Source organism: Homo sapiens, chromosome 5 (assembly GCF_000001405.40).
Source record: "Homo sapiens chromosome 5, GRCh38.p14 Primary Assembly".
NCBI lineage: Eukaryota > Metazoa > Chordata > Mammalia > Primates > Hominidae > Homo > Homo sapiens.
The window spans coordinates 33,779,066-33,806,122 of NC_000005.10; the positions used below are offsets into that span (position 1 = coordinate 33,779,066).

Here is a 27,057-nt window from a genome sequence, read left to right on the forward strand (position 1 = left end):
AATTAGAACAGCCATTATAGAAAACATTATGAAGGTTCCTTAAAAAATTAAAAATAGAAGTACCATATGATCCATCAATCTCACTTCTGGGTATATATCCAAAGGAACTGAAATTAGTATTTTTTTTTTTTTTTTTTTGAGACGAAGTCTTGCTTTGTTGCCCAGGCTGGAGTGCAGTGGTACAATCTTGGCTCACTGCAACCTCCACCTACCAGGTTCAAGCGATTCTCCTGCCTCAGCCTCCTGAGTAGCTGGGATTACAGGTGCCTGCCACCATGCCCAGCTAATTTTTATATTTTTAGTAGAGACAGAGTTTCACCATGTTGGTCAGGCTGGTCTTGAACTCCTGACCTCAAGTGATCCACCCACCTTGGCCTCCCAAAGTGCTGGGATTACAGGCATGAGCCGTCGCATTTGGCCTGAAATTGCTGTCTTGAAGAGATGTCTGAACTCCTATGCTCATTGCAGCATTATTCGCAATAGCCATGACAGGGAATCAACCTAAGTGCCCATCAACAGATAAATGGATAAAGAAAATGTAGTGTATATGTACAGCAGAATATTATTTGGCCTTTAAAAGGAAGGAAATCCTGTCATTTGCAACAACATGGATGAACCTGAAGGACATTATACTAAGTGAAATAAGCCTGGCACAGAAAGATAAATACTACATGATCTCACTTATATGTGGAATCTAAAACAGTTGAACTTATAGGAGAGAGCAGGATGGTTGTCACCAAAGGCTGGAGGATGAGGGCCATGAAGAGATGTTGGTCAAAGGGTATGAAGTTTCAGTTAAGCAAGAAGGATAAGTTCTGGAGAGCTAATGTGACTATAGTTAATAATAACTATAACAGTGACTATAGTTAATAATATTGTATTGTGCATTTGAAATTTGCTACGAGAGTAGATCTTACATGTTTTTACTACAAAAAATGATAACTGTGAGATGATGGATATGTGAATTAGCTTAAATATGGTAATCATTTCACAATGGATACAAAAACATGTTGCATACTGTAAATATATACAATGTTTATTTGTCAAAAAACTTCAATAAAGCTGTAGGAGGGGAAACCAACCAAGAAGTCTGTTAAGATAAAGATAGAAAATTAATCCATGAAGAGGAGTAAAAATTTACCTTAACAATTAAGCATTATTTCTATTCAGAATTAAGTTTGCCTTGAGATTTCTGTCAGTCAAGGTTAAAAAGGAGATCAGATGAGTTATACAATTCTTATTCTCTGAAAAGAAGAAATGCACCAAATTTTCAGTCATGAAAGACTTTTTTTTTGACACTAGAATTCTGATCTCATCATACAAGGTATGAGATACTTTACAGATAAGGGATTCAATGATATTTTTACAAAGAAACATGTGCATGATCTTCATATGGCTGCTTTCTTTCTGCCACCTCTCAATAAAAACCAGTGGTGCCTCCTTAAGGCGAGGTGGTTACAGAGATTGGAAGCACTGAAGGGAAATAAGCTAAGGTGGTTCAGGTAGATTGACGCAAAAAGAAATGGAGTTGGGCATTCCCTGTGTAAAAGAGCTTTTACAAAAGAGTCTAAACTTTTGTTTATGCCACCAAGTACTGATTCTTGTCCCTTATCAGGCTAATATTATATTCAAATTGTTTTCTAAATCGTATTGCTTTAAGACAAGAGCAGCCAACCTCATCCCACTGGGTCAAGCACCCCTTGCTTCCCAGCTGACTCCTTTCCTTTTATAGCTCTCTCGTAAGAAGAGTCTAATAAATGTGAGATTGGTCTTTCCCCTTCTCACTACAAGCAACATTTCAGAAAGCTCCTGATGGTCATGCAGCAGGAGTGGTCTCATCAGGGAATCTCAGTGGTGGGATGGCATAAGTTTCCAGGCAAAAACTGACAAATACGTTCCCTTTTCTTTTTCTTTCTTTACTTTCATGAAGAATACTGTCATAATAGATATGCAAAACTGGTTGAAACAACGCATTAGGAATAATAAGTGTTTTCTGGGATTAAGTGAATAGCACAGCTATTATAGCTGAGTTCTTGGGGGACATTTATTCTTTCAGACTTTATGCTGTAAGGTAAGAAAATAGACAGCTCCAATTCATACATACATAGATATAGATAGATATAGATACAGATATACACACACATGCAAATGTCTGTGCATGTGTATAATACAGATATGTGCATGTGTGTGTGTGTATATATATATATGTATATATACACGCATATCTTAATGGGTCTTAAAATTATTGAACTAAGAGAAATACCAAGAAGTCATCTAACTTAGTCCTTCTCACACATTAAAGTACATGAGAATCACACAGGGATCTTACTAAATGCCTGTTCTGATTCAGAATATGTGGATGTGGGCTGGAAGTCTGCATTTCTCACAAGCTCCTTGAGGATGGCCATGTGACCAGACCAGGGACCACACTAAGTGACATGACTCACATTGACCAGGCCAATCTGTCAGTGAAAACAAAGAAGCAAACAAAACAGCTGCAGCAGCTGCATATCAGATAATGGAATCTGCTGAGACACTGGGAGACACTGACTATAATTGAAAGGTCAACCAGTAAATTTATCCTGCCTGCCCTTGCATTCTTTCTTATCAACCTGTAAACTCTTTTTTTTTTATTTTATTATTATTATACTTTAAGTTTTAGGGTACATGTGCACAATGTGCAGGTTAGTTACATATGTATACATGTGCCATGCTGGTGTGCTGCACCCACTAACTCGTCATTTAGCATTAGGTATATCTCCTAATGCTATCCCTCCCCCCCGACCCCACAACAGTCCCCAGAGTGTGATGTTCCCCTTCCTGTGTCCATGTGTTCTCATTGTTCAATTCCCACCTATGAGTGAGAACATGCGGTGTTTGGTTTTTTGTTCTTGCGATAGTGTAAACTCTTATTTATCCATTAAAGCTCAGCTGAATTATGGCTTCCTGTATCTATACCTTAACCTCATCTTGAATTGTCTCTGCTTGAGTACACAGCAATAAATAAAGATCTGAAATGACAAATATAACAATTTTCTATTTTCTTCTCTTATTTTTTTAAAAAGCCATAAGTATATATAAAGCAATAATGCCAACAGTGTATTAATGGATTTAGAGTTTATATAGATGTAATATATAGGAAATAATAGCACACAGGTGAGGGAGTAAATGGAGCGACATTAAAGCAAAGTTATTATATACTACCGAACAACCAAAAAGAAAATAGTTTAAAAATATGGTTAAAAATCAACAGAAAAAATTAAATGGCACATTAAAAAATATTTGGTTAGCACAAAGCAAGGCAGTAAAAGAGAAACAGAAGAAGAAAAAGACATGAGACATGAAGAAATAAACAGATGTAAATCCAACCAACATCAATAATGACATTAAATGTGAATAGAATAAACACTCAATTCAAAAAACAGAGATTGTCATATAAAATAAAAAAGTAAGACCCAACCAAAATCTGTCTACAAGAAACACACATTATATTCAAAGACATGGAATAGTTGAAAGTGAAAGAATTGAATAAATGATAAATCATGGAGACCATAATCATAAAAGAGCTAGGTTGACTACATTAATAACAAAAAATATTTTAAGGTAAGAAATATCAGAGAAAAATTGAGACATTTCATAATAATAAAGAGATAAATATATCGAGAAGATATAGTAACTATAAATGTATATGTACTTAATAACAGAACCATAAAATACATAAAGTAAAAGACTGGCAAAATTGAGGATAAAAATTATGCAAAATTATTGCTTCATATCTCAATATCTCTCTTTTAGTACTTCATAGAAAAACTTGACAAAAATCAAGAAGGATTTAGAAGACTTGAACAATGCTATCAACTTGACCTTACTGACACAGAACATTTCCCTCATAAAAGCAGAACACACATTATCTTAAGCGCATGCCAACTATTCTCCAGGGTAGACCATATGCTAGGCTATAAAATAATTATCAAGAAATGTAAAAGAGTTAAAATCATGCCAAGTAAGTTCTCTGAACACCAGAATATTAAATTAGAAATCACCAACTGAAAGAAATTTGAGAAATTAAACAATAAACTTCTAAATAACTAATGAGTTAAGAAAGAAACCAAAAGAGCAACTACAAAAAATACTGAATTACATAAAGATGGAAACAAAACATGTGAATTTATGGGTTACAATGAAAATAGTATTTAGAGGGAAGGTTTCTAGCTTTAAATATTTGAATTAGAAAAGAAGAAAGCTATAAATGCATTTATATAAAAACATTAAAAAGGGACCAAATAAAATCTAAAGTAAGGAAAAAATAAAGCTCAAATTAAAAATTAATTAAGTACAAAAAAGAAAATCAATAGAAAAAAGTCAACAAAAAACCAAAGGCAGGTTCTTTGACAAAATCAGCAAAATCAATTAGCTAGAATAACTGAGCAAAAAGAAAAATAAAATCCAATTACTAAAAACAGAAATAAAAGAGAAAACATCACTATCTGCCCCGCAGAAATTAAAAGAATTATAAGGGGATATTAGCTGTAATTCTGTGCCAACAAATTAGACAAATTATATGAAATAGAAAATTCCTAGCAAGACACAAATTACTAAAATGACTCAAGAAGACAAACTGTAACAGGTTAAAAAACCAAATCAGTAATTAAAAAATCTTACCATGAAGAAAAACCCAGGTTCAGTGGCTTCAATGATCAATTTTATCCAATATTTAAGGAAAAAATAATATCAGTCCTACACAAACTCTTCCCAAAATAAATTTTCACATAAAATTTTCCAACTTTTTCTGGAGGCAGTACTGCCCAGACATCAAAGCTAACAAAGACACTAAGAAGATACCACAAAAAACCTGGCTAATATCCCTCATGAATAAGGATATAAAAATTTCAACAAAATAATAACAAACCAAATTTAGCAATATATGAAAAAGAGTATGTATGATGGCCAAGTGAGATTTACCCATGATTGCAAAGTTCATTTAAAATTTTTAAATCAATTATTTTAAAACACCAAATTAATAAAATAAAGAACAAAAACCATATGACCCTCTCAATAGATGTAGAAAAGTCCTTGACAAAAATCACTACCTATACATAACAGAAACTTCAGGAAACTAGAAATATGAGGGAGAATTTTCAACCTTATAAAAGATATGTTTAAAAAGTGTCTACAGCTAACCTCATAGTTAATGATAAAAGACAGAATGCTTTACCCTAGGATTAAGAACAAGGCAAATATGTCCCCTCTCACTACTTTCATTCAACATTGTACTGATGGTGAGCCAACGTGATAAGACAAGCAAAAGAAATTAAAGGCATGCAAATTGGAAACAAAGTAAGACTCTTTTATAGACAATATAATTATTTATTTAGAAAATCCTAAGGAAACTTCAAAAAACTTACTAGACATAACAAGCAAATTTAGCAAGGTTACAGGATAACAGGTCAGTATAAAAAAAATAGTTGTATTCTGTACCAGAAATAAACAATCCAAAAATGAAACTAAGAAAGCAGTTTCATTTCCAAGATAATCAGAAAGAACAAAATAATTACAAATTAACGTTTAAGTCAATGTGCAATATCTATATCCTGAAATGTACAAAACATTACCGAGATCAACTAAAGAATTTCTAAATAGTTAGAGAGCCATACCATGTTCAAGGATTAAAGACTCAAGTCTGGGAAATTCTCAAATTGATCTATATATTCTATATACTGAAATTCCAAGTGGCTATTTTGGTAGAAATTAATAAGCTGATTCTAACATTTATATTGAAATAAAAGACTTAGAATATTCAAAATAAATGTTATAAAGAAAAACAAAAGTTGCTGGACTTTCAGTACCTAATTTCAAAACTTATTGTAAAGTTACAGTAATTAATAGTGTGGTATTGGCATAAGAAAAGATGTGCAGATCGATGGAAGAAAATAGTGAGCAGTTAACCCTTGCTCATAGGTTAATTAATTTTGAACAAAGTTGGCCCAGGCAATTTAATGATGGAAGGGCAGGAAAAGTGGGAAAGGATATGAGGCTTTTCACTGGATATCCACATGAAAAAGAATGATGATGGACACCTTTCTCATACCACTCCCAAAAATTCACTCAAAATGGATCATAGACATAAATATAAGGGCTGAAACTATTAGAACTATGGGAGAAACTATAGGAGAAACTCACTCTACCTTGGATAAGGCCAAAATTTCTTAGATATGATACCAAAAGCACAGCTTGTAAAAAAAAAATGATAAATTGAACTTCAACAAAATCGCAAACTTTGCTCTCAAAATATGTCTTAATTGAAATGAAAAGATATAATGCAGACAGGGAAAAATATTTGCAAACCATGTATCTGACAAAAGACTTGCATTCAGAGTGTGTGTACATGTGTGTGTGTACGTGTGTGTTTGTGTGTGTGCATGTATGCTCAAACTCAAGACAAACTACGAAATGTGCAAAAGATTTGAATAGGCACTTCAGCAAAGAAATATTGAAAAGATATGCAACATCATTAATTATCAGGGAAATGCAACTTAAAATCATGATTATATACTACTACAAACCCATTTAAATAGCTATAATCTAAAAGATTAGCAATGCCAAATGTTGGCTAACATATGGAAAAACTGAAACCCTTGTATGTTGCTGTTGAAAATGTAAAATGGTACAATTATTTTGGAAACCAGTTGGGCAGCTTCTCAAAAGACTAACATAGACATTTCATATAAGCAAACAATTCCAATCCTAAATATTTACTTAAGAGAAATGAAGCGTGTATTCACACAAAGATTTGTGTGCAAATATTCATAGCAGCATTATTTATAATAGCCCCACATTAGAAACAATCCAAACATCCCTCAGCTCATGAATGGATAAACAAAATCTGATACAGCAATACAATGGAATACTATTCATCAATGAAAAGGAACAAACTGTTGATAAATGCAACATAAATGAACCTCAAAATATTATGCAAAGTGAAAGAAACCAGATACAAAAGACTACATCTTGTATGATTCCACTATATGACATTTCTTTAAAATGCATCTAATGAAAGACAAACAAGACAACAATATTTGCTTGTGGCTGGGATAGGAATGCAGATTGCCAACAGGCATGAGTGAACTTTTGGGGGTCATGGAAATATTTTAAAAGTGTATTGTGATGATTCCACAACTGCCTAAATTTACTAAAAATCATTGAACTGTGCACTACAGTAAATGAATTTTATGGTGTGTAAATGATACCTCAATAAGGCTGTTAAAAACATTTTATAAGAAAATAAAAATAATTTCCTTTCTTTGGGTTTAATGGTTTTCCAACAAGGGTAAAGGGCAGAGATGGGGAGGGAAAGAGAAGAGGACAGAAGGCAGCATATTAAAATCATCTAAGAAGCTTTTTTTTTTTTAACACACATAGACTTCCTCCTCCGTGGAATAAATATTAGAAGTTGAAGAATACCATCTATTATCAGGAGGCTGTACGTACTTTGCAAATGTTCCCCAAATGATTCTGATATGCATTGCCTCCCAAGCATATTACCCCTGAGAACCTCTTCTCTTGATAGATTGGGTCCTAGGAGTCTGTTTTCAATAAGCAAAGCAGTGATTCTTGTGACCAGGTAAGTTTAACAAGCACAGCCCATGTCTGCAACAGTAGGAACTTTCAGCACTGTGGCAGTGCAACGTGGGATAAATATTACTCTACGAAAAACTATTTTCTGACCTTTTATTCACATCTCCCCAGTCCCCTGTCAGTGCCAGACACTAGGGATAGCAAGTACCTTCCCAATCCTAATAAATTAAACCAACAATTAAGATTCCCAATTCCCCTGCCTTTGGTGGGGATTCTGGTCCATCAGAAGGGATCCCCCTCTTATATCAATAGCAAAGGGCTACTCATTTTGTTACAGTTAGGACCAAATCATACTCGTTCTACATATTAGTCATGAAATAACCTAAGTGGATGCCTAGATGTGGTCCTCTATGGCTGAAAAGTCCTTTAGCTCTTTCCAATTCAGTGATTATAAGACTATACCCCCCAACCTGAAGCACATTGTCATTCTTTACTCAGTGGGAGTTTTTCCATTCTTGGAAGAAGGTAGGAAATATGAAAAAAAAAAGCATTTGTAGTCACCTCCTATTGATTTATTTTACTGATTGTCAGGTTTACCCCTGAAAAAGATCAGATTGCTGATGTAAAGGCTAAAGCTTCCTACGGTTGTTAGAAGAAAGACAGGTTTGTAGATGGGAGAACATGGAGCTTCAAGAAAATTAAGGCAACCATCCATTGCAGGGCCACTGTCCACTTTTCGAATGTCAAAAACATTCCTAAATCTGCCTAGCAAATTGCTTGAAATTCCTAATATTTTCCAGCATTTGTGGACAAAACCTTCAGCATTTCTATGAAGACATATTCATCACGAGAACATGTTTCTTGAGAGAAGAAGGCGACTATGAGGACTTTAGTTGCCAAGTATATGGGGTAGGTTTGGCAGTGACATCAGCGATTGGAGCCATGCTCCTGGTGGGAGCCACATGCTGGCACAGAGGCTGCAGGAATTGAGTGGCTTGAAGTCTATGGGCTACCTGTCCATAGCAGGCCATTTTTAAAAAGGCCTACCCTGATTTCCACACCAGCTGCCCACATCCCCACTGCCCCCACCTCCTCAATGTCCCATCCTTGGGGGTCTCTCAGACATGACTGGTTACAGAACAGTTTCCCATACAGAAAAGAGCGTGATATTTCTTCAACACTTTACAGAGGCAAAGTAAAGCACGATAGGAAATGGAGCTGTTTTCTCGTGACTCTTCCACACATTTACTGAGCATCTACCATGTGTGAGGGAATGTTCTGGGTGCCAGATAATTGAAGACAAACATACCATAGACCCTGCCACCAGGAAGGGCACAGCCTCACTCAAACGGGAGGGAAATGGCAACACTTAGCCACCCACCATAATGAACTTTTAAGGATGCCAGTGAGTTCCAGCACAGATGGGCTCCCTTGCCCTGCCTTGGTCACCTGTGAATGTGAAGCATGGCCAGCCCCTCGAACTACAGTCTTGCTCTGGAATATGGACGCCTGTCCACAGATGGCTCCTTCTGAACAGCCAGTAGGGGTTCCTGTCACTTTTCAAACCATGAAATAATGTATGTCCTCTAACTGAAACAAGCAACTTCAACTAAAGGAGGTACATTAACAGTCTTTTTTCTCTCTCTCTTTTTTTTTGCCTGTCCAATAAATACGCAGAAGTTCAAGGTGAGAAATTTAATTAAATTTCATAACAACTCACTGGAATCATAGGCAAATGTACCAAGAGGGAACGAAAGAGGGGAGGGATGGGAAGGGAAAGGAAGGTAAGGGGAGGAGATGGGAAGAGAGAGAAAAGAAGGGGAGAGAGAAAAGGTAGGACTGCTAAAATATGCCAGGTTCAGGTGCACACAAAAAGCAAATGTTGTCTTTCTCTTCTTGATAGTTCCACAGAATCTCATTTTCCCAGGAATTCAAGTGAGTTGGCGAGGAAAGGAATAGGGCATGATGAAGAGAAACACTGGAAGCAGGTGCACCAGGAAGCTATTTTGAATTTCTGCAGTCATGAAAGGATCCTTGGATTATAGCCTTGAGAAAGAGACGGGCTATTCAACAGGAGGAAGTGGCTTTCACCATAAGCAAACCTATTACCAAAAACCCTACTTTCCACCTGTAGACCACTTGGCAGTTACTAAAGCACATGCGCACACATTCACCTTTGTTCTTCCCATAACTCTGTAAAAAGGGGCTGGGCAGGTATCCCATCCTCTTTCGTTCAGATGCAGAAACTGAGTTTCCTCCACATCTTCTGGCTGTTCCCACAGCAATTTTTCCACAGTGCTCAGCAGAGGTTCTTCCCTTCCCAGGAGTCTAAGAATCTCCCTAACAGTGAAATCCCAGCTGGCCAAAAATGTGAGTCAGGGTACAGAAATCTGAACCACATCCACATACTCAGGATCACACGGATTCTGTACATCAAAGCATGATTTTCCTCTCTGAGTCATGATTGGGATCTATGAGAACACGGGAGGTTTCATAGGCTGTGGACATTGTGTGAATTCCCTAGGGGACAGAAAGGTCTCTCACACACACTCAGCAAGGAGAGAGCCTGACGGCTGCTGTGTCCCAGGCCCAAGGCCTCAAAGACCCAGAGAACCAGCTGCTGTCCCACCATGGATGTCTATGAAATAGGGACACAAATACAGCTGCCAATGAAACTCCAGCAGCAGATGCTGCCCACACATGGCCTCCCCCAGGGCTGAGAGTGAGCCATCTCCAAGGAGAGGTTGGAGATGGAACAGCCACCATTGTCCATGCCTCACTGCTTAATACACAGTCTGCTTTTAGGGTCTCTAGACCGCTCTCAGGGTCTCTTCTTTATTCTGTCAGAGAAAAGCCAAGGGAGGTTTCTGCACTTCCCTCATTGGTCTCTCTGGAGGAAAGCAGAAGCTAATAACCCTGCCCAAGGAGGAAAATGGCTAGTGGCTGCGTAGAGTACCTCAACAGCAGTCCCAGCAGGTTTAAAAATAAATGATGAATGTGTTAGCAACATCAGTGCTTTGATAGAAACACACACAGCGTTCTTGACAGTCCTTGGCACTTCAGAGCTGTGGCTGGCTTTTCTTTAATTTTGAAATTACTTAGTGTCCCTGACAAATGAACAAACACAGGGGAAAGTCCATTTCCCCACAGTGCTCTCAAGTTCGTTCTTGGCATGGAAGCGCCATGTGGTCTGCAGCCTCTTCTTTCTAAATGGACAGTTCAAGCCTGCCTCTCATGGATTTACTTTGCCTAAGAATACAACAGTGTTGATTGCCAAAGTATCTTAAAGCAAATCCGCTATCTCATGTCATTTCACCCCGAGACTACACTATGAATCCTTAAAATTACGGACCTTTTCAAACATAACCACAATATTATTATCACACCTAACAAGGTTATAGAACAATTCCTGGGTGTTATCTAATAGATTATCAAATTTTGTAGTGCTCTTTAAAAAAAAAGTCTCTTTACAGTTCATCCATTCGAATCAGGTGCGGCCAGAGTCCACACATAGTATTTAGTTGTTTTATCCTTAAGTCTGTTTTCTTTTAGAGCAGTTCCATCTCCCTTTTTTTCCTGCCATTGGCTAATTGCAGAAACCAGTTGATTGTCCTTTAGAATGTCCCACATCTGGCCGGGCGCGGTGGCTCACGCCTGTAATCCCAGCACTTTGGGAGGCCAAGGTGGATGGAACACAAGGTCAAGAGATCAAGACTATCCTGGCCAATGTGGTGAAACCCCGTCTCTACTAAAAATACAAAAATTAGCTGGGCATGGTGGCGCATGCCTGTAGTCCCAGCTATTCGGAAGGCTGAGGCAGAAGAATCGCTTGAACCCAGGAGGCGGAGGTTGCAGACAGCCGAGATCGTGCCACTGCACTCCTCCAGCCTGGGTGACAGAGCAAGACTCCATCTCAAAAAAAAAAAAAAAAGAAAAAAGAAAAAAGAATGTCCCACATATGGATTTGTCTGTTGCTTTCTCCTTTAACCTTTTTCTCCTGTAAATTGGTCAACAGAGCTAAAGGCTTTATTAAAGTGTGTGTGTGTGTACACACACGCACATGTGTGCACATAGAGATTCAGGTATACACACAAACACACATATACTTGACTCTAATCAAACTTCTAGCTTGACATACAAACATATATATATATATATATATATATATATGCATGTTGATATATATATGGCTAAGGTGCAGACATCAGCTACATGTATATGTGTATATGTAAGAATACTGAATAGGTGGTGCTGTGTTCTTCCTGTTGCATCCCACAGGAGAAACCCCTAATGTCTGGTTCTTGCACATTTAGTGATGTTAACATTGGTCAGAGGGTTGCATGGTGATTCCCAGTCCCTCCACTACAGAGCATGCGGTCACACTCTCATGATGAAAGCAATCTAGCCAGATCTAAAACCACTCCAGGAGATGGAGGACAAGGCCTCTGAGCTAAGCTCCACACCTGATTTCTTACCCCACCCAGGTCACAGCTACTCACATGCACAGCAGCATGGCTGGCCAGTACCTCTTGACTCTCAGCAAGAATTAGATGTCTGGTAGTTATTGAGTTGGATGTTCAGGCTTAAAATATAAAAGTCTCCAATGAAAACATCCTGGGCAATATGAGGTACTGGGAATTTTGAGATTCTCAACCTGACCCTGATATTAATATGCTCTGTAATGCTAGGCAAGTCACCTAAACTTTTCTGAATCTCCAACTGTAAAATAAGGGAGTTGGTCTCAATCTCTTTCAGCTCTAAATTCCTGTAAGATATATTTTATTAATCCCTTATACATATATCCTTGCTGTGCCTAGATGCCTTAAAAATTTTTTTTAACAAAAACAAGGACTACTAAATAAAAAAAGAACTAGGAAAAGTGTTTATCCAAGCCAATCAGATTTTTATCACCTGGGAATTAGAAATTTGTACTTCTATGCAGTGACCTATATAATAGGCAGCTAAGCCACTTTAATGGAAATTCTCTAGAGAAAATGTCCATGAATGCTTGTTTCTTTGGTCCCTGAAATTTCTGAGTCTTAGTTGTTAAGTCTGTCTGTGGTTCCTTGAGATACCCCAGATATCCTTCCAAACCACCCAATCAATTCCACTCTTTTTTATTTCCTTTTCTTTTTTTTTTTTTGGCCTTAGGATAGCGAAGTTGGTATCTGTCATTTGATATAAAGGAAGCTTTACTAATACCCATCCTCCAAGCCTAACTCAGATCCTATACTCCTTGAAGACTGTTAGGCTGCATTGACCCTAGTGATGTCTCTTTGTCCATAGGTCCTGGTGGTAATTATCTGTGACATCTTTACATTTATACCTAGTCTTAGCTTAAACGTGCTTTCACACTTTTTTTTTTTTTTTTTTTTGAGATGGAGTCTCACTCTTTCATCCAGGCTGGAATGCAGTGGCACGATCTCGGCTCACTGCAACCTCTGCCTCCCAGGCTCAAGCAATTCTCCTGCCCCAGGCTCCAGAGTAGCTGGGATTACAGGCGCCCACCACCATACCCAGCTAATTTGTTTGTTTAGTAGAGATGGGACTTCAACACGTTAGCCAGGCTGGTCTCGAACTCCTGACCTCAAGTGATCTGCCTGCCTCGGCATCCCAAAGTACTGGGATCACAGGCATAAGCCACCATGCCCAGCCTGCTTTCACTTTTAAGTCCGCTAGATTGGTAGCAAAGGGACCCCGTACTATAGAGCCAATTGCTTGATACCATGAATGTGCATGTCACGTAACTGGCTCCCCTACTTCATCCAGTGCCCATTTGAGAAAATTAGATAGGACTAAAATTCTGTCTGAAAAGTACTGGTTTTCCTTGACCTCGTGATAATATCTCTACAGTTTACATAATTGACATCCAATTATTGAATTTGGTGGGCTTATTATACTTTTTATCCCTCAAAGAGCCTGGCACAAGTGTTAAGCACAGGTGATGTTCAGCAGATATGTGTTGATTCAACACCTGCCACTGCAGCTATCTCTGACCCTGTGTGGAGCAATGATTGGCAGAACAGACTGACACTTGGTTATCAGGCTGTTTCCATAGGCACAGAACAAAAACAAGAAGATAGTATCCTTGAAAAGCCAGTCATAGCCTCTTCTCTATACTTGCAGTCCTGCACATAAGGGACAACTTGGTGAGCAGAGTGTGAGCCGAACTCCAACTCCACTCAACCTTTGGCTGGTGTTATTGCTCAGTGCACAATCTGGACAACTGAACATGGTTTACTTGTGGTTCCCCTGGACTGGCACAGAAGTCAATCTCCCAAGGTAGCCTTCTGAAAGGAGCCTGTGTCCTCTGTTGTCTCTTTCCCATAGCACTCCCTAAACATCAAGCACAACAGCAGGCACTGAGTTCTGGGAACCAGGCTTAGTGTCCATGAATTTGCCTTCATTCGGGATGTGTGCCACAGTGGATCACTGGGGTTTCATCTGCCTCAGGACTTTGGCCTCTTGGCCACCACGGCTCTTCCTCAATTACGGCTATCCAATTTATCTCCAGTGTGTTTCAGATAAAGGACTAATCTTATTTTATTCCTTGCTAAAAATTTCTGTTCACAAATACAAACAAGAAACATGAGCTCTAACTATTTGGGACCATGGACAGATAAGGTTTGTGTGTAATGAGGCTGAACACTTAAAATCATGGGTGAAGGTCAGACCCCCCAACAAAATGAGAATCTGTTCAAAATGTTAAAGCAAAATATCAAATGTTCCCATAGAATAAACTTTATTTTTTTGATTACTTAAGAATAATCTTCTGAATTGCTTAAAATAGTTTAAAACCCTGAATTTGATTAAGCAACCAGGAACAGATGTTTTAGAGAGTGAAGTTTCTTAAAATCTGGATGGGCTATAAATATCGACATAAATGGAAAGTTATCTAGTCACATTTTTTAAATTGAATTTAAGATTTTTTGAAATGAGAGACTGTATTGGATTATTTTACCCAAACTTTTTTTTCTTATTTGTTTAATGTATTTCCACATGAAGCTCCATATCCACATATTCAATTTAATATCCACAGCAACTCAGGGAAGTGGGGGAAAGCCGGCAGTCACAGGCCTCACTCAGCTCCCATGCAAACTGAAGGGCCAATCTCACTCCCACCGTGCCCCCACCAACAATCCCAAGTCTGTTCCCAGGCGAAGGGCGAGATGGGCTTGAAAATTTGCCCAAGACCATCTTCCTCCCAGCTGTGAGAGAAAAGGGCTTTAGTTCTTCCCCCCTCCCCGCCTGTGAAGTCTGCATGCCCGATTTGCACTCTCCCGCAAGTTCTGGTCAGGAGGCTTCTCGCCGCTTTCAAATTGTTACAAAGTTCAGCTAGAGAATTCCTCCTCCCCGTGGAGTTTACCCCCTGCTCCTCTGCCCACCCTCCCCATGAATCCCTGTGGTGCCCAGCGGGAATGGGCTGCTTGAGGACCCAGGGAGCTCCCAGGGCCTTCCTGTTGCTTCCTCTACCTCTGTATTTCGCTCGGCTCACTAACTTGACTCAGTTCCAAGTAAAGTCGGAAACTTCTCCCGCAAACAGACCTTCAGCTTCTCCAGTGGAGGTGTGTGCTTGGGAGAGGAGGGTCTCCCTTTCCCACTTCCGCAGCTGGGGCACTCACAGTATTTGGGGTGTCTCTTCCGGTCCTGCAGGAGAAGTCCGCTTCCTTCAGAGGGTCTGTGGGGCCTCTTGGGATTGCTGGTTTGTTCTTGCAGTCGATCTGGAGCTAAAATTCCGGTCCTCATTACTTCAAGAGTGGAGAGTGGAGGTTGCGCAAGCAGGCAAGATGGTGCTGAGCCGGTGAGCGGAAAGCCAGCTGCATGCCTGGGAAGATTCTGGTTTTCTGCACCCAGCCTGCTGCAGCTTATTCTCATCCTGCTACACTGACTTCTCTCTGTATAGCTCTGCCACTCAATTAAGTAAATCAAATATGCACTGTCTGCTGGCAATGGAGACCGAGGTGCAGGTAGGCACGGCACTTCTTCCTACGCTCCATTTTCCTTGGAAACCGGCACTGTGGATGGCACATCAGTAGCAGAACCAGCAGCAGCTGCCTGTTAAGATGTGAATGTATCTCAGCAGCCCTTGATATGGCAGGCATCTGAGGTACACACCTGAGTATCTTCCTCTATCTGCAAGGGGCCAGCGGGGGAGATCGCTGACTCCAGAACTTAAGAGTAGGAAAGTGGTATGATCTCCAGCACTATGAATCACATCCTGAGCTGTCATCAGTGAAAAATAACTCCATCGGCAGCTTGAAATACTCCTCAAAGGACAGTTCCCTAATGATGTCCTTTTTCTCCCAGAGAACCCATTATTTACATATTTTAAAAATTAATTAAAAAGTGACCAAGTTTTTTTAAAAAAGACATTTGAAAAGTTTGTTCATTTCAAGCAGCTGGTCACAAGAACAGACTTACGTGTACAGCAAAGTCTGGATTTTATTTGGAAACTACATGCATAGCAGAGGAAAGCTGGAAATAATTTCTCTATAGTTCTGGCTGTAAAAGCATCACAGGACCCATGGGCTGAAAGATTCCAGTAAATCTAATCTGCAAGCATCTGCCCTGGCACCCAGTGTGCTTACAAATGGCACTGCCCTACCTGTAAAGAGACGGGAATCATTAGGCTGGCGAATTCAGTGATTGGAAATGTCTCAATATATTATAATACACCAACCCAGATAGAAATCCCTGTGGGAACAACAACAAAAAAGTGTTGCTCTCACCAAATGCCCCACGATGTAGTGCACTAAAAGACAAGAGACATCTGGAAAAGGTGGCAGAAATATTAAAAATTACCAAATTCCAGAATCCCTACGTCAAATGAAAAAAAATTTTAAATCGAAAAATAAATCTATTCACGTAGCACTGAAACTAGGAAATAGTCTCATTTCATACGAACAACCTTAAGAAATGTCATTCAGAAGCACAAAGGGACTCCAGCAACTACGCTCCTCAGAGGAGCGGTGGTGAATGGACAGACTCCTCAAGCTCTGGCTATACTCCCAATGTGGAGGAATGGGGGAGCTGGGATGTGGGAGCCATTCTTCGTCTCTGTCAGTAAGAGCCACCTCAGCCCAAATGTGGAGGGTTTTGAAAATTCGCCACTATACTCCCCACTGGTAGAAGTAAAAGCTGAAGGGAATGAAGGAACAAAGTGCCTGAGGCCGATTACTTCACACACAATTAAATGCTGGCCTAAGCTGAGAACAAAGCCCAGGCAAAAAAATACTTAGAAATTCCATTTGGAGAGCCCCACTCTGAAGAGTCCATTCTCTCTTCCATTGTGATAAATAGAATCTTTCTGGGCACATGAAGAAATGCTGGAATTTGCAACTTTTATTTTCTGCTGTCCATACAAGAGAAAAAACTCAAGCAAATGCCCAAAGATGTGTGTGCAACAATGTTGCCTGTGGCATTGTTTGTAACATCTAAGTCTCATCTACAGGGACACCAATAGGACAATAGATCATGGCACATACGTACTGTGGATATGCTGCAGAATGTGCCATGCAGGACTGCCACTGCCATCTTCTTCACTCTGGCACCCAGCATAAAGCGTGGCATACTCTATCCACCAACAATCACAGAGTTCATCACCAGTAGGTGCTGGAGGATGCATCAGTAAAGGAAAGGAACACACTACTGTGCAAACTTTAGAACAAATGCAACTTACATACTGACATGGAAGGATGCCAAGGTATATTGTTGCATGAAAAGCACCAAATTACAGAACACAGTATGACACCATTTTTATTGTTAGTGATTTCCTACACATTTATTTCTTCATACATTTCATTTTAAAATTATGTATATTAATATAGGTATGTAGCATTTATATACACCTGCAGTGCCTAAAAAGGTGTTGCTCACTGACATCCAGAACTTCTCTTCTTATAGGCAGATGGAGAGCTGAATTCCCTCATCCCTTGTGGTTGGATGGGGCCTCATGTCTAGTTTTTGCCAATGAGTTGTAAGAGTAAATGACACATGTCACTTCCAGGCCAGACCATTTACATACCAGCATGGGCCTCAGAGTTTCTTCCCTTTCCTAAGTTTATCTTGAAAGTATATATGTGCTGAGATCAAGCCTATGGCAACCTGGATCCTGTAGGGTCTATGAAGAGCAGGAAAAGAAATGGTGCAAGGAGCAACTTCAAAAGCCTCCCCAAAGCCAAACTTCACCCTCATCATCATTTGATTAAAAAACATAAAATTATGTGCTTTCAAATGAGAGCTGTGGACTCCCTAAGTCCAGCCTTTGGGAATGGAAGACTGGATGATGAACTCAGTGATTGTTGATGGATAGAGACTCCTTCAAGGAAGCTTGACTTCTCTCCAACTACTGGATCAAAGCATGTCCAAATTGAAAGGCAAAAACCTCACAGAAGGCAGGACTGAGAGGACTCTGAGAAACCTTCTTCTATAAAGGCATCTCTAAATCCAGGCATGAAAAAATAATATCCTGATAACAAGAATGTGAACAAGCAACTCTTTACATCACGTCAACAAATCTAGATGCCTAGCCTCCCACAGCCCCATGCCAGTTGCTAGCAAGAAGAATTTAGACTTCACTTTTACAGACCTTGAGTGGTCAAGGGTCTGTAATCTTCCTGGCCAAGCCTGTTGAAGAGGGCTCCTGCCCTATAAAATGGGAGGATATGCCATTGACACTGGAGACTAATTAAATGCTATCTCCTGGAGTTATAAGAAATAGGGAAGTTAGTAAACACTGGAATTAAAGAAGTTGTGAACAGAGTGTGTAACTGCTAGCACTTTGATAAATCTTTTCTCTAAAATAAAACTCTTATACAACCAATCTGAAACACAGGAGAAAGATTCTGGGATCCAGAGGGACACAGCGAGATTGACCCTGAGTTGACCATGGCTGAGCGCAGAAGCCAAAGTGAGCTGGCTTTTAATGTCAGAACTTAGTGATGAAGGTTCCCCACAGAGAAATTCAGTACATTCCCAACCACTCTAGACTATGTTCGCATTCCTTATAAAATATGATAAATAATACCTTACTTACTTGGGTTGTCGTAAGGATTAATGGAATTGTATTTGTAATTATTTCTAGCACAATAAATACTGATGTGTTTTCTTCTTCTTAAAAAAAAGTTACTATGAATATTTCTCAAGCTATTATGGAACCTGAATGAGTACTAAATAGAGAGCATAGCCCAACTCCACAAATATGCTACACAAACATATACTAGCTACACAAATACTTATGTTATTTAAATTGCAATTTTCTAATGTCTGTAGCAAAGTACTAACATAAAAAGTGAACATAAAGGCTTATAGCAAGTATAGACTTGAAGAGTTTATTTCATCCATCCTACTGCCTCTTGGTAGGTAAGACATCTGACAATCTCTTTCCTCAGCATCTTCAGTGATGAATTCAAAGAACTGACTATCCTTCTCGTTCCTAAATATGAAGGAAATTTCTGAATAAAACAAGTACATTTTAAGTTATATTTTGAATATAACTTAAGTATATTCAAAGAGCATCTACTAGATGCCTACTTACACTCTCATGACATTTTTTTTTTTTAATTTCCAAGGGTAGTATATTAGTCTTTTAGGGCTGCCATAATAAAATACCACAGACTGGGTGGCTTAAACAACAGAAATTTATTTTTCACATTTCTAGATGCTGGAAGTACAAGATCAAGGTGTCAGCAGGCTTGGTTTCTCCCAAGAACCCTCTCCTTGGTTAGCAGACAAGCCTTGTCTCTGTGTCCTCACATGGTCTTTTCTCATGTTCCTGATGTCTCTTCTTTGTATCTTTTTTTTTTTTTTTTTTTTTTTTGAGATGGAGTCTCACTGTGTCACCCAGGCTGGAATGCAATGGTGCAATCTCGGCTCACTGCAATCTCCGCCTCCCGGGTTTAAGTGATTCTCCCACCTCAGCCTCCCGAGTAGCTGGGACTACAGGCACCCACCATTATGCCTGGCTAATTTTTGTATTTTTGCAGAGACGGGGTTTCACCATGTTGGCCAGGCTGGTCTTGAACTCCTGACTTCAGGTGATCTGCCTGCTTCGTCCTCCCAAAGTGCTGGGATTACAGGCGTGAGCCACCACTCCTAGCGGCTTCTTATAAGAATTGTGGTTCTATTGGATTAAGAGCTCACTCTTATGATCTCTTTAATCTTAATTACCTCTTTAAAGGCTCTGTCTCCAAATATAGTCACATTGGGGGTTAGGACTTCAGCCTATGAATTCTGGGGGACAGTTCAGTCTATAACAGATAGCATCACCTTAGAAGGGCTCTGTGGCATCTGTGCAATCCCCTGCTTTCTTCCTGTGTGAGCTTCAATGGGAGACATGAAGAAAGACAATACACAACTTTTTCTACCTGGAGCTCACCATCTACTTGTGGACAAGACACTTTCCCCATGAACACAGGGCTCACAGGGCAAATATACAAGCAGTGGCTCAAGGCAGCGCATGAGGGATGAGGCAGTAAGTGCCGTGCACTTAAAGATGAGAACGACCAGTGTGGGCATGTGTGCTCCAGAAGCAGCACTAGAACCCTTGGGAAGTCAATGTCCTGTTCATTAACCACATCCCTCAATGTTGCTATATTGGTTGGTTTACTAATTAAGTGCAAACACAGAATGTTTACTACTTTAGCAAATAAAATCCCAACCTTCTTTCTACTCTCCCACAGGACCTAAATATACTCATCATCAGGCCTCACTGAGACTCATTCTACCTCACCCTTTCCCAAGGGGCTGCTCATACTTCTAGTCCCATCACACTCTCCCTCCTGTGTGTGCAAGAGTTGCTGGGCAGAGTCTTTCCCACTTCAGACTCTGCAACTGCCTGGAGTGCAAGTTCTTTCCATCCATTCATCAGGCAGCCTTCATTCCCAAACCATTTATTGACATGCTAACTGAACCCCTTATTTGGCTTTGAATCTCATCATCCATAAAATGGGCATTATACCCATTGGCTGGGTTGTCAAGGGAACTAAGTAGAAAACCATGTTGTAAACCCTCTAGTCCGATGCTGACACATTGTACTGTATGTGCTTAATTAATGTATTTCCCATCTCTTTCTTTCTTTGCTGCTCAAAATAGTTGAGTGAATATCTGAAAGCAGGATGGTAGAAGCTGGGCCAACAGCACTGAATCCAATCAAAGGCACAGGAAGGGGTCTCAGAGTGCCACATCAGGCTCACAGAGAGTGTCCCTCTTATATGTGACATACACAATCTTCTCCTCAATCCAGATAAGGGCAACTGAGACAAGGTTATTAAATGAAGGAGCAACAGAGACCAGTAGGCCAGAGTATTTTCTGGGTTAGTGGGGAAGGGTGACCAACATTCTTGGAAATGTTCCTGGGTCCGGGACTGTGGCCTCCTCTAAGGGCTCAGGCAACACAGGCTGTGCTAATCAGGCACTTAAGCCAAAGGGGATACCAATATGACACTGACTTTGATGACTTTAGCAAAATACAAACGCAGTTCTAACTTTCACTCATTCAGTAGACTTATATAGATACACACACTTCAATTTGGTGAATAGCTCAGTCAGTCTATAAATAACAAAATAATTGTGGAGATGTTAAGTTCAAGGCACCATACCAGTGTCGCAGGATTGCAGAAGGGAAAAGGTTGGAGTAGTAAGGGAGTATAACACACGTCCCTGCCCAAAGACCTTAGTCTAGTGAGACAGATGAAACAAAGCATATGACAAATAAAAATCAGGACCGGAAGACATGAGCTGAGGGGAACACTCAGAAAAGGAGTCACTGCGGATATGTGGGCTTTCCAAAGAGCTCAATACTACACAAACTTGGACATGATCCACAAGATTTTCTCACAGAACTATGAGTTTTGGCCGTTTCCCATAGCCTTCTACTATTTATTTCTACGACAATTCTCACAATTTGAAGGTTTTTCCTAGAAATAAACAACCTGAGTGGTTTGGCATTAATCAATTTTGGAGTTGTCAGATTTCTTAATCAATTCAAAAGTATTTTTTTTTTGAGCTCTAGTTTATACAAGCTTCACCAGACTAAGGATTGTAGAGGATACAATTAATTGGTAGCCTCAGTCTTCTCCTACAAGAAGCTTACATTCAATGGTGTGCTGGAGCCCCCATGTGCCTGCTTGTAAGGACCATTTGCTAAATATCCAGAAATTTTGTGAGCTGGTGTTAAACAGAGATGTGGTTGCTTGAATAACGGTATCTATGTCCTAATCCCTGGATCCTGTGCATGTTAACTTATATAACAACCAAAAAAAGGATTTTTCAGGTATAATTAAGCATCTTGAGATGGAAAGATTATCTAGGTGGGTCCTAAATGTAGTCACATGTATGCTTATGAGAGGAATGCAGAAGATTTGACACACACAGAAGAGGAGAAGGTGCTGGAACCATGGAGTCAGAAATTGAAGTGATGTAGCCACAAGCCAAGCAATGCCATGAACCACTAGAAGCTGGAAGAGGCAAGAAGCAAATTCCCCCATAGAGTCTCCAGAGGGAGTGCAGTCTTGCTAACCCCTTGATTTCAGCCCGTGAAACCGATTTTGGACTTCTGGCCTCTAGAACTAAGAGAATACATTTTTGTTGTTTTAAGGCACCAAGTTGGTGGTAATTTGTTACAGAGCTGTAGGAAACTGATACAGGTGGGTAGCCTGAAATCAGCCATGGTGGGAGTATTTACACCCCAGAAACTGGCAAATGCTACAAATCAGGGCTTTTAGTTTTAGAGACCTGGTTTGCTCACATCATAACTGAGTAAATCAGCCTTAAACAACTAGCAAATGTCACTTCATGGCATGACATGACAGGATGTGCTGTGATATGACATGATATAATGTGATGTGTCATTAGGAAACACACTCAACTTATAACCAGGTTCCTCATTCTGAATCTTTCCCAAACAGGTTCTGTCTGTTATTAGGCAGATCTCTTTTCTTCTCACTGTGGTTTGGTGTCCTTTCAGAAAAAACAAGAGCCTCAAAACAAACTCATTCATTATAGAAACATTTACTAAGCACTTACAGTGTAGCAGAAATGGTGCTGAAGGTACAAAGGTGAGGGAGTCCCAGTGCCAGTCACTGAAGAATGAATACTCATTGTGACATCAGACAGCGAAGCAACAAGAAAATGCCGTGAGGTTGAAGATTAAAGGTGACTGCTGGGGTGTTTCCCATCTTTGTGATTTCCACTCTTTGTGATCCCAGTGCCAAATCATTGACTTATTAAAGTGGAGCTTTCAGTGGAAGATTGCTATGGTCTGAATGTTTATGTCCCTCCAAAATGTATGTTAAAAACCTTATCACCAATGTAATGCTATTAGGAGGTAGGGCTTTGGGAAGGCGATCAGGCCATGAGAATGGAGCCCTCATGAATGAGATCAGTGCCTTATAAGAAAGGCCCCAGAGAGCTGCCTTCCCATTCTACCATGTAAGGTTACAGTGAGAAGGCACTATCTATGAATTGGGAAGTGGGCCTTCATCACCAGTCACTGAATCTGCTAGCATCTTGATCTTGGACTTTCCAGCCTCCAGTACTGTGAGAAATAAATTTCTGTTATTGATAAGCCACTCACATATAGTATTTTGTTATAGCAGCCCAAAAAGACTAAGAGAAGTTCTCCAACACTAATCAAACAGCATTATCTGAAAGGGGCTGTGTTGGAAAGTTGTTACTGTGTTGAACTCCAGCTCAAACAACTAAGCAAAGCTAAGCTGGGCCAAGTACAACATTGGATCCTAATCACAGGCAGGTAGCATTTGTCAAACAAGATGACACCACCCACAATGTCACAGTAGTGGAGGTGGTGCTCATCATCAAAGATGCCACTGCTCCACAGGATGGACCACCCACTGGTGCTATGGTAACAGCAACATGCAAACCACTGCTAGGATGGCCACCTGGTCCCTGCTCTCTGCATCTTCCCCATGACTCCCGTTAAATGCCCTCACTGGGTGCTCTGCTTAAAGTTTTAAGATTTCAGGCAACTTCCTCTTCCCAGGTGGCATCTAAAGTTAACATCCAGGGATAGCTAACAGAAAACCACCTAGCCTTCCCTTTTTAAGACACTACATCTCAGGGGCCCTACTCTGATCCCCAAGTAAATTCTTGGACATCCTTTCAAGCTACAAATGTTAGCAATAGCAGTCCTCTATGGGAGACGTAATACAGTTGCTATTATTAGGCAATTTGCACCGGGTAACAAGTTTACTCTTCCAGATGTGGGACCTATTTGCGGCAAAAGTCTGTTTATTCCTTCATGTAAGAAATGCTTACTGAGGAACTCTACATGCCAGACAATTAACTAGGTACTTGAGATCCAAACACAAGTGAAAAACAACCCCTGCCCTCAGAAGGAGACTTACCCATAATCAGCAAGTGTCACTGATATTATAAGATAAGGATGTCCAGGGAACAGCAAGGCACAAATGAGGTGGTAGACAGTCTCTCTAGAGGGCTAGGAAAAGACTCATACATGATAAGGTACATGGATCCAGGGAAGATGAAGGCAGTGTGGGATTGCTTTTGAATTTCTCCAAACTCGCCCATAAAAGCAGACAGACAAACTAAGATAACTAAACAAAAAAACCCACAGACAAAACTATTACAAACCCCAAAAGAAGTGTGGTGGGAACAAACATCTGATAGAATCAGACACATTACTGGTGACCGGACATAAGCCCTGTTAATGAGAAGCTTACATTTAGAGAGTCAATTAAGTACACGCTATACACAACCTAAAGTGGTAAATGCTACCTTGGTTATTCAACTTCACTGTTACATGCCTTGAAGTGTGGGGTGCACTGGCCTGAACCATTCTGGTTGTGTTTGATTCCTTAGGATGCCACCAACAAATAACATTGAGAAATACCCAGCTACTTTCATGTTCTCCAATGGCAGCAAAGTACAATGATCTCTATGATTCATGGGAGGTCAGATGAAGAGTGAGACAATTGTATTAGTCTGTTCTCGCACTGCTAATAAAGGCATACCCAAGACTGGGTAATTTATAGAGGAAAGAGGTTTAATTCTTCCAGTTCCACATGGCTGGGGAGGCCTCACAATCATGGCGAAAGGCAAAGGGGAAGCAAGACGCATCTTACACGGCAGCAGGCAAGAGGGTGTGTGCAGGGGAACTGCCCTTTTATAAAACCATCAAATCTCATGAGACTTATTCATTATCACAAGAACAGCATGGGAAAAACCTGCTCCCATGATTCAATTACCTCCTATGGGATCCCTCCCACGAAACATGGGATTATTACAATTCAAGGTGAGATTCGGGTGGGGACACAGAGCCAAACCATATCAACAATGTAGGGGAAGAAGACAAGAGCCTAGCTGTGCTGCCTATTGGCTGGACATCCTTTACCAAATGTCTTTAACTTCCCTAGGCCTTAATTTTCTCATTAAAAATGGAGACAGATATAACACACACCTCATGGGCTATTATAAGGACCGAATGGGATAATGTATGTGGGTGAGGAGAAGTCTTTGCAAACTAAAAACTGCTCCAAAATACATTATCTTCATTCACAGGCCACAGTAGATTAAGTTATTCATATATATTCCCTTCCTCTTCCCCCATCTTCATATATAGAGTTCCCTGCCCCTTGACTTTGGGCTCATCTATGTGACTTCTTTTGTTGGAAGGGATGTTAGCAAACCCATCGCAAACAAGCTATGATTGCACAGTGGTGCTCACCTTCTGCACCCCCATCACTGCCATGGGAAGAGCCTCCTGCCAACCTGGCCTCAGAAGGAACATACAGAGAGCAGACCTGAGCCCAACCCTGCATGAGGGGCCAAGCCCAGCTCTCTCACAGCTGGAAGGAGAGCCAGCCAGCCAACTCCCAACTGACATGCAGATGTGTGAGCAAGAATAAATGATGGCTGTTTAAAGCCACTGAGTTTTAGAGTGGCATTCCCCAACACGTGCTGAAAGGTACACAGCCCATCACTTCCCTCCTCAGCCTAAGAGGTCCTGGGAAATTGACAGCACTGTAGAAACCATTTTGATAAAATATTTGCAATGCAATTCACAAGTGAAAAGAATGATAGAGCCAAAAGGAAGAACTAGCCTAAGGCAGTGAGGTGGGTGAAGGGTGGCATCAGAATCATTCAGAAATTTCAAATTACATATACCTGATCCGCTCACCATCCCCATTCCATTCATTCCTATAGATATTTACCAGCCTAAGAGTAAGGAGGTGAAGAGATAGAACATTGTACTCCAAGAAATCATAGTAAGAAAACCCTGCACTACAGAATAAAAAAAAATGTGAAAGTCAATGGGGATCAGCACAGCAAAGATGAAGTACCCATTCATTCCCACTTTGCACCCCTGACAAACAAACAATGTCTGACTAGTACCAATGTACTCATGAGAGTGAGCATCATGAAGTCTGTAACATACTGGAAAATATTCCAGTCTACTCAGTGTGATATTATGTAAGCATCAGTTAATTTTAATTTAAATTCTAAGATTGATCAAGCTAACACTATGCTTTATACACAGCCCTGGGGTGGTTAGCTAGCATTACAACAAAAGGAGCCACCCTCCAGGAGAGGCTCCCCAAATACTTCCACTACCTGGGTCAACATCAACAATCCACAGCTTGCTAATTATTATATAACAAATTTTAAAAATTATTGGTGAAAGTAGGGTCTTGTTAATTAGCATAATGAATACTAGAAATTCAGTCTCATTAAAGAAATTAAAGATGTTGGAGATACATAAACTGCCATGGTAGTTGAGCCGTATTCTCCATTGCATGAACAAGGTATGAGACCCCAGCAAGGCTCAAGGTCTGTATAGGGCACCTGAGGCTTACTCCTTAATCAGATCCACATCCAGCAATTGATCACATTAGGAGGATCACTGACTGCACAGACTTGTAATGTGGCAGTGGCTGTGCTGAATCTGCAGACCATCCTAATGGAGTGAGGTCTCCTAAGGGGAGCGCGTGGAGGCTTTCATCAAGCTCACAGAATAGACCTATGCACTATTTTTGTGTCTACTTTGATAATGAATGTTTGTCTAATAAATGTATGTGTGACAGGAGAAAAGAGGTTATGATATGTATGCTGTGAAGGAAAAAAGGGCTGGGTGCAGTGGTTTATGCCTTAATCCCAGCACTTTGGGAGGTGAGGTGGGAGGATAGCTTGAGCCCAGGAGTTCGAGGTTACAGTGAGCTGTGATTGTGCCATTGCACTCCAGCCTGGGCAACAGAGTGAGATTTTGTCTCTGAAAAGAAAAGGGGGAAAAAAAAGCCACCTCTCATTTAAAAAAAAAAAAAGACTTTGTAAAGAACATAAATTGCAGAACACTTAAAAATAAAATTAAACTTTATTATGTTTAGAGTCTGCTGCTAAGTGGTAAATAAGTGTAAATATCTAAAATTAGATACTTTTTTACAATTTCAAGTAAGATGAATAAATATTTTAAAATTCATTATTTATTCTTCCATCTACTAGCTACAA

At 40.1% G+C, this 27,057-nt stretch overlaps 1 protein-coding gene across 4 annotated transcripts in view, besides 1 other annotated feature; it reads right to left on the bottom strand.

Moving 5' to 3' along the window:
* Positions 1–27,057, bottom strand: part of ADAMTS12 (ADAM metallopeptidase with thrombospondin type 1 motif 12) — a 368,456-nt gene that overhangs the window by 255,531 nt on the left and 85,868 nt on the right. The gene's annotated exons all lie outside the window — the stretch shown is intronic.
* Positions 9,150–10,349: an enhancer, noted in NCBI's record as "BRD4-independent group 4 enhancer chr5:33788320-33789519 (GRCh37/hg19 assembly coordinates)". NCBI's record gives its function as "activates an origin of replication core promoter dependent on BRD2, P300/CBP, MED14 and CDK7 cofactors, and independent of BRD4, by STARR-seq in HCT116 cells {active_cell/tissue: HCT116}" and the evidence as "EXISTENCE:reporter gene assay evidence [ECO:0000049][PMID:35650434]".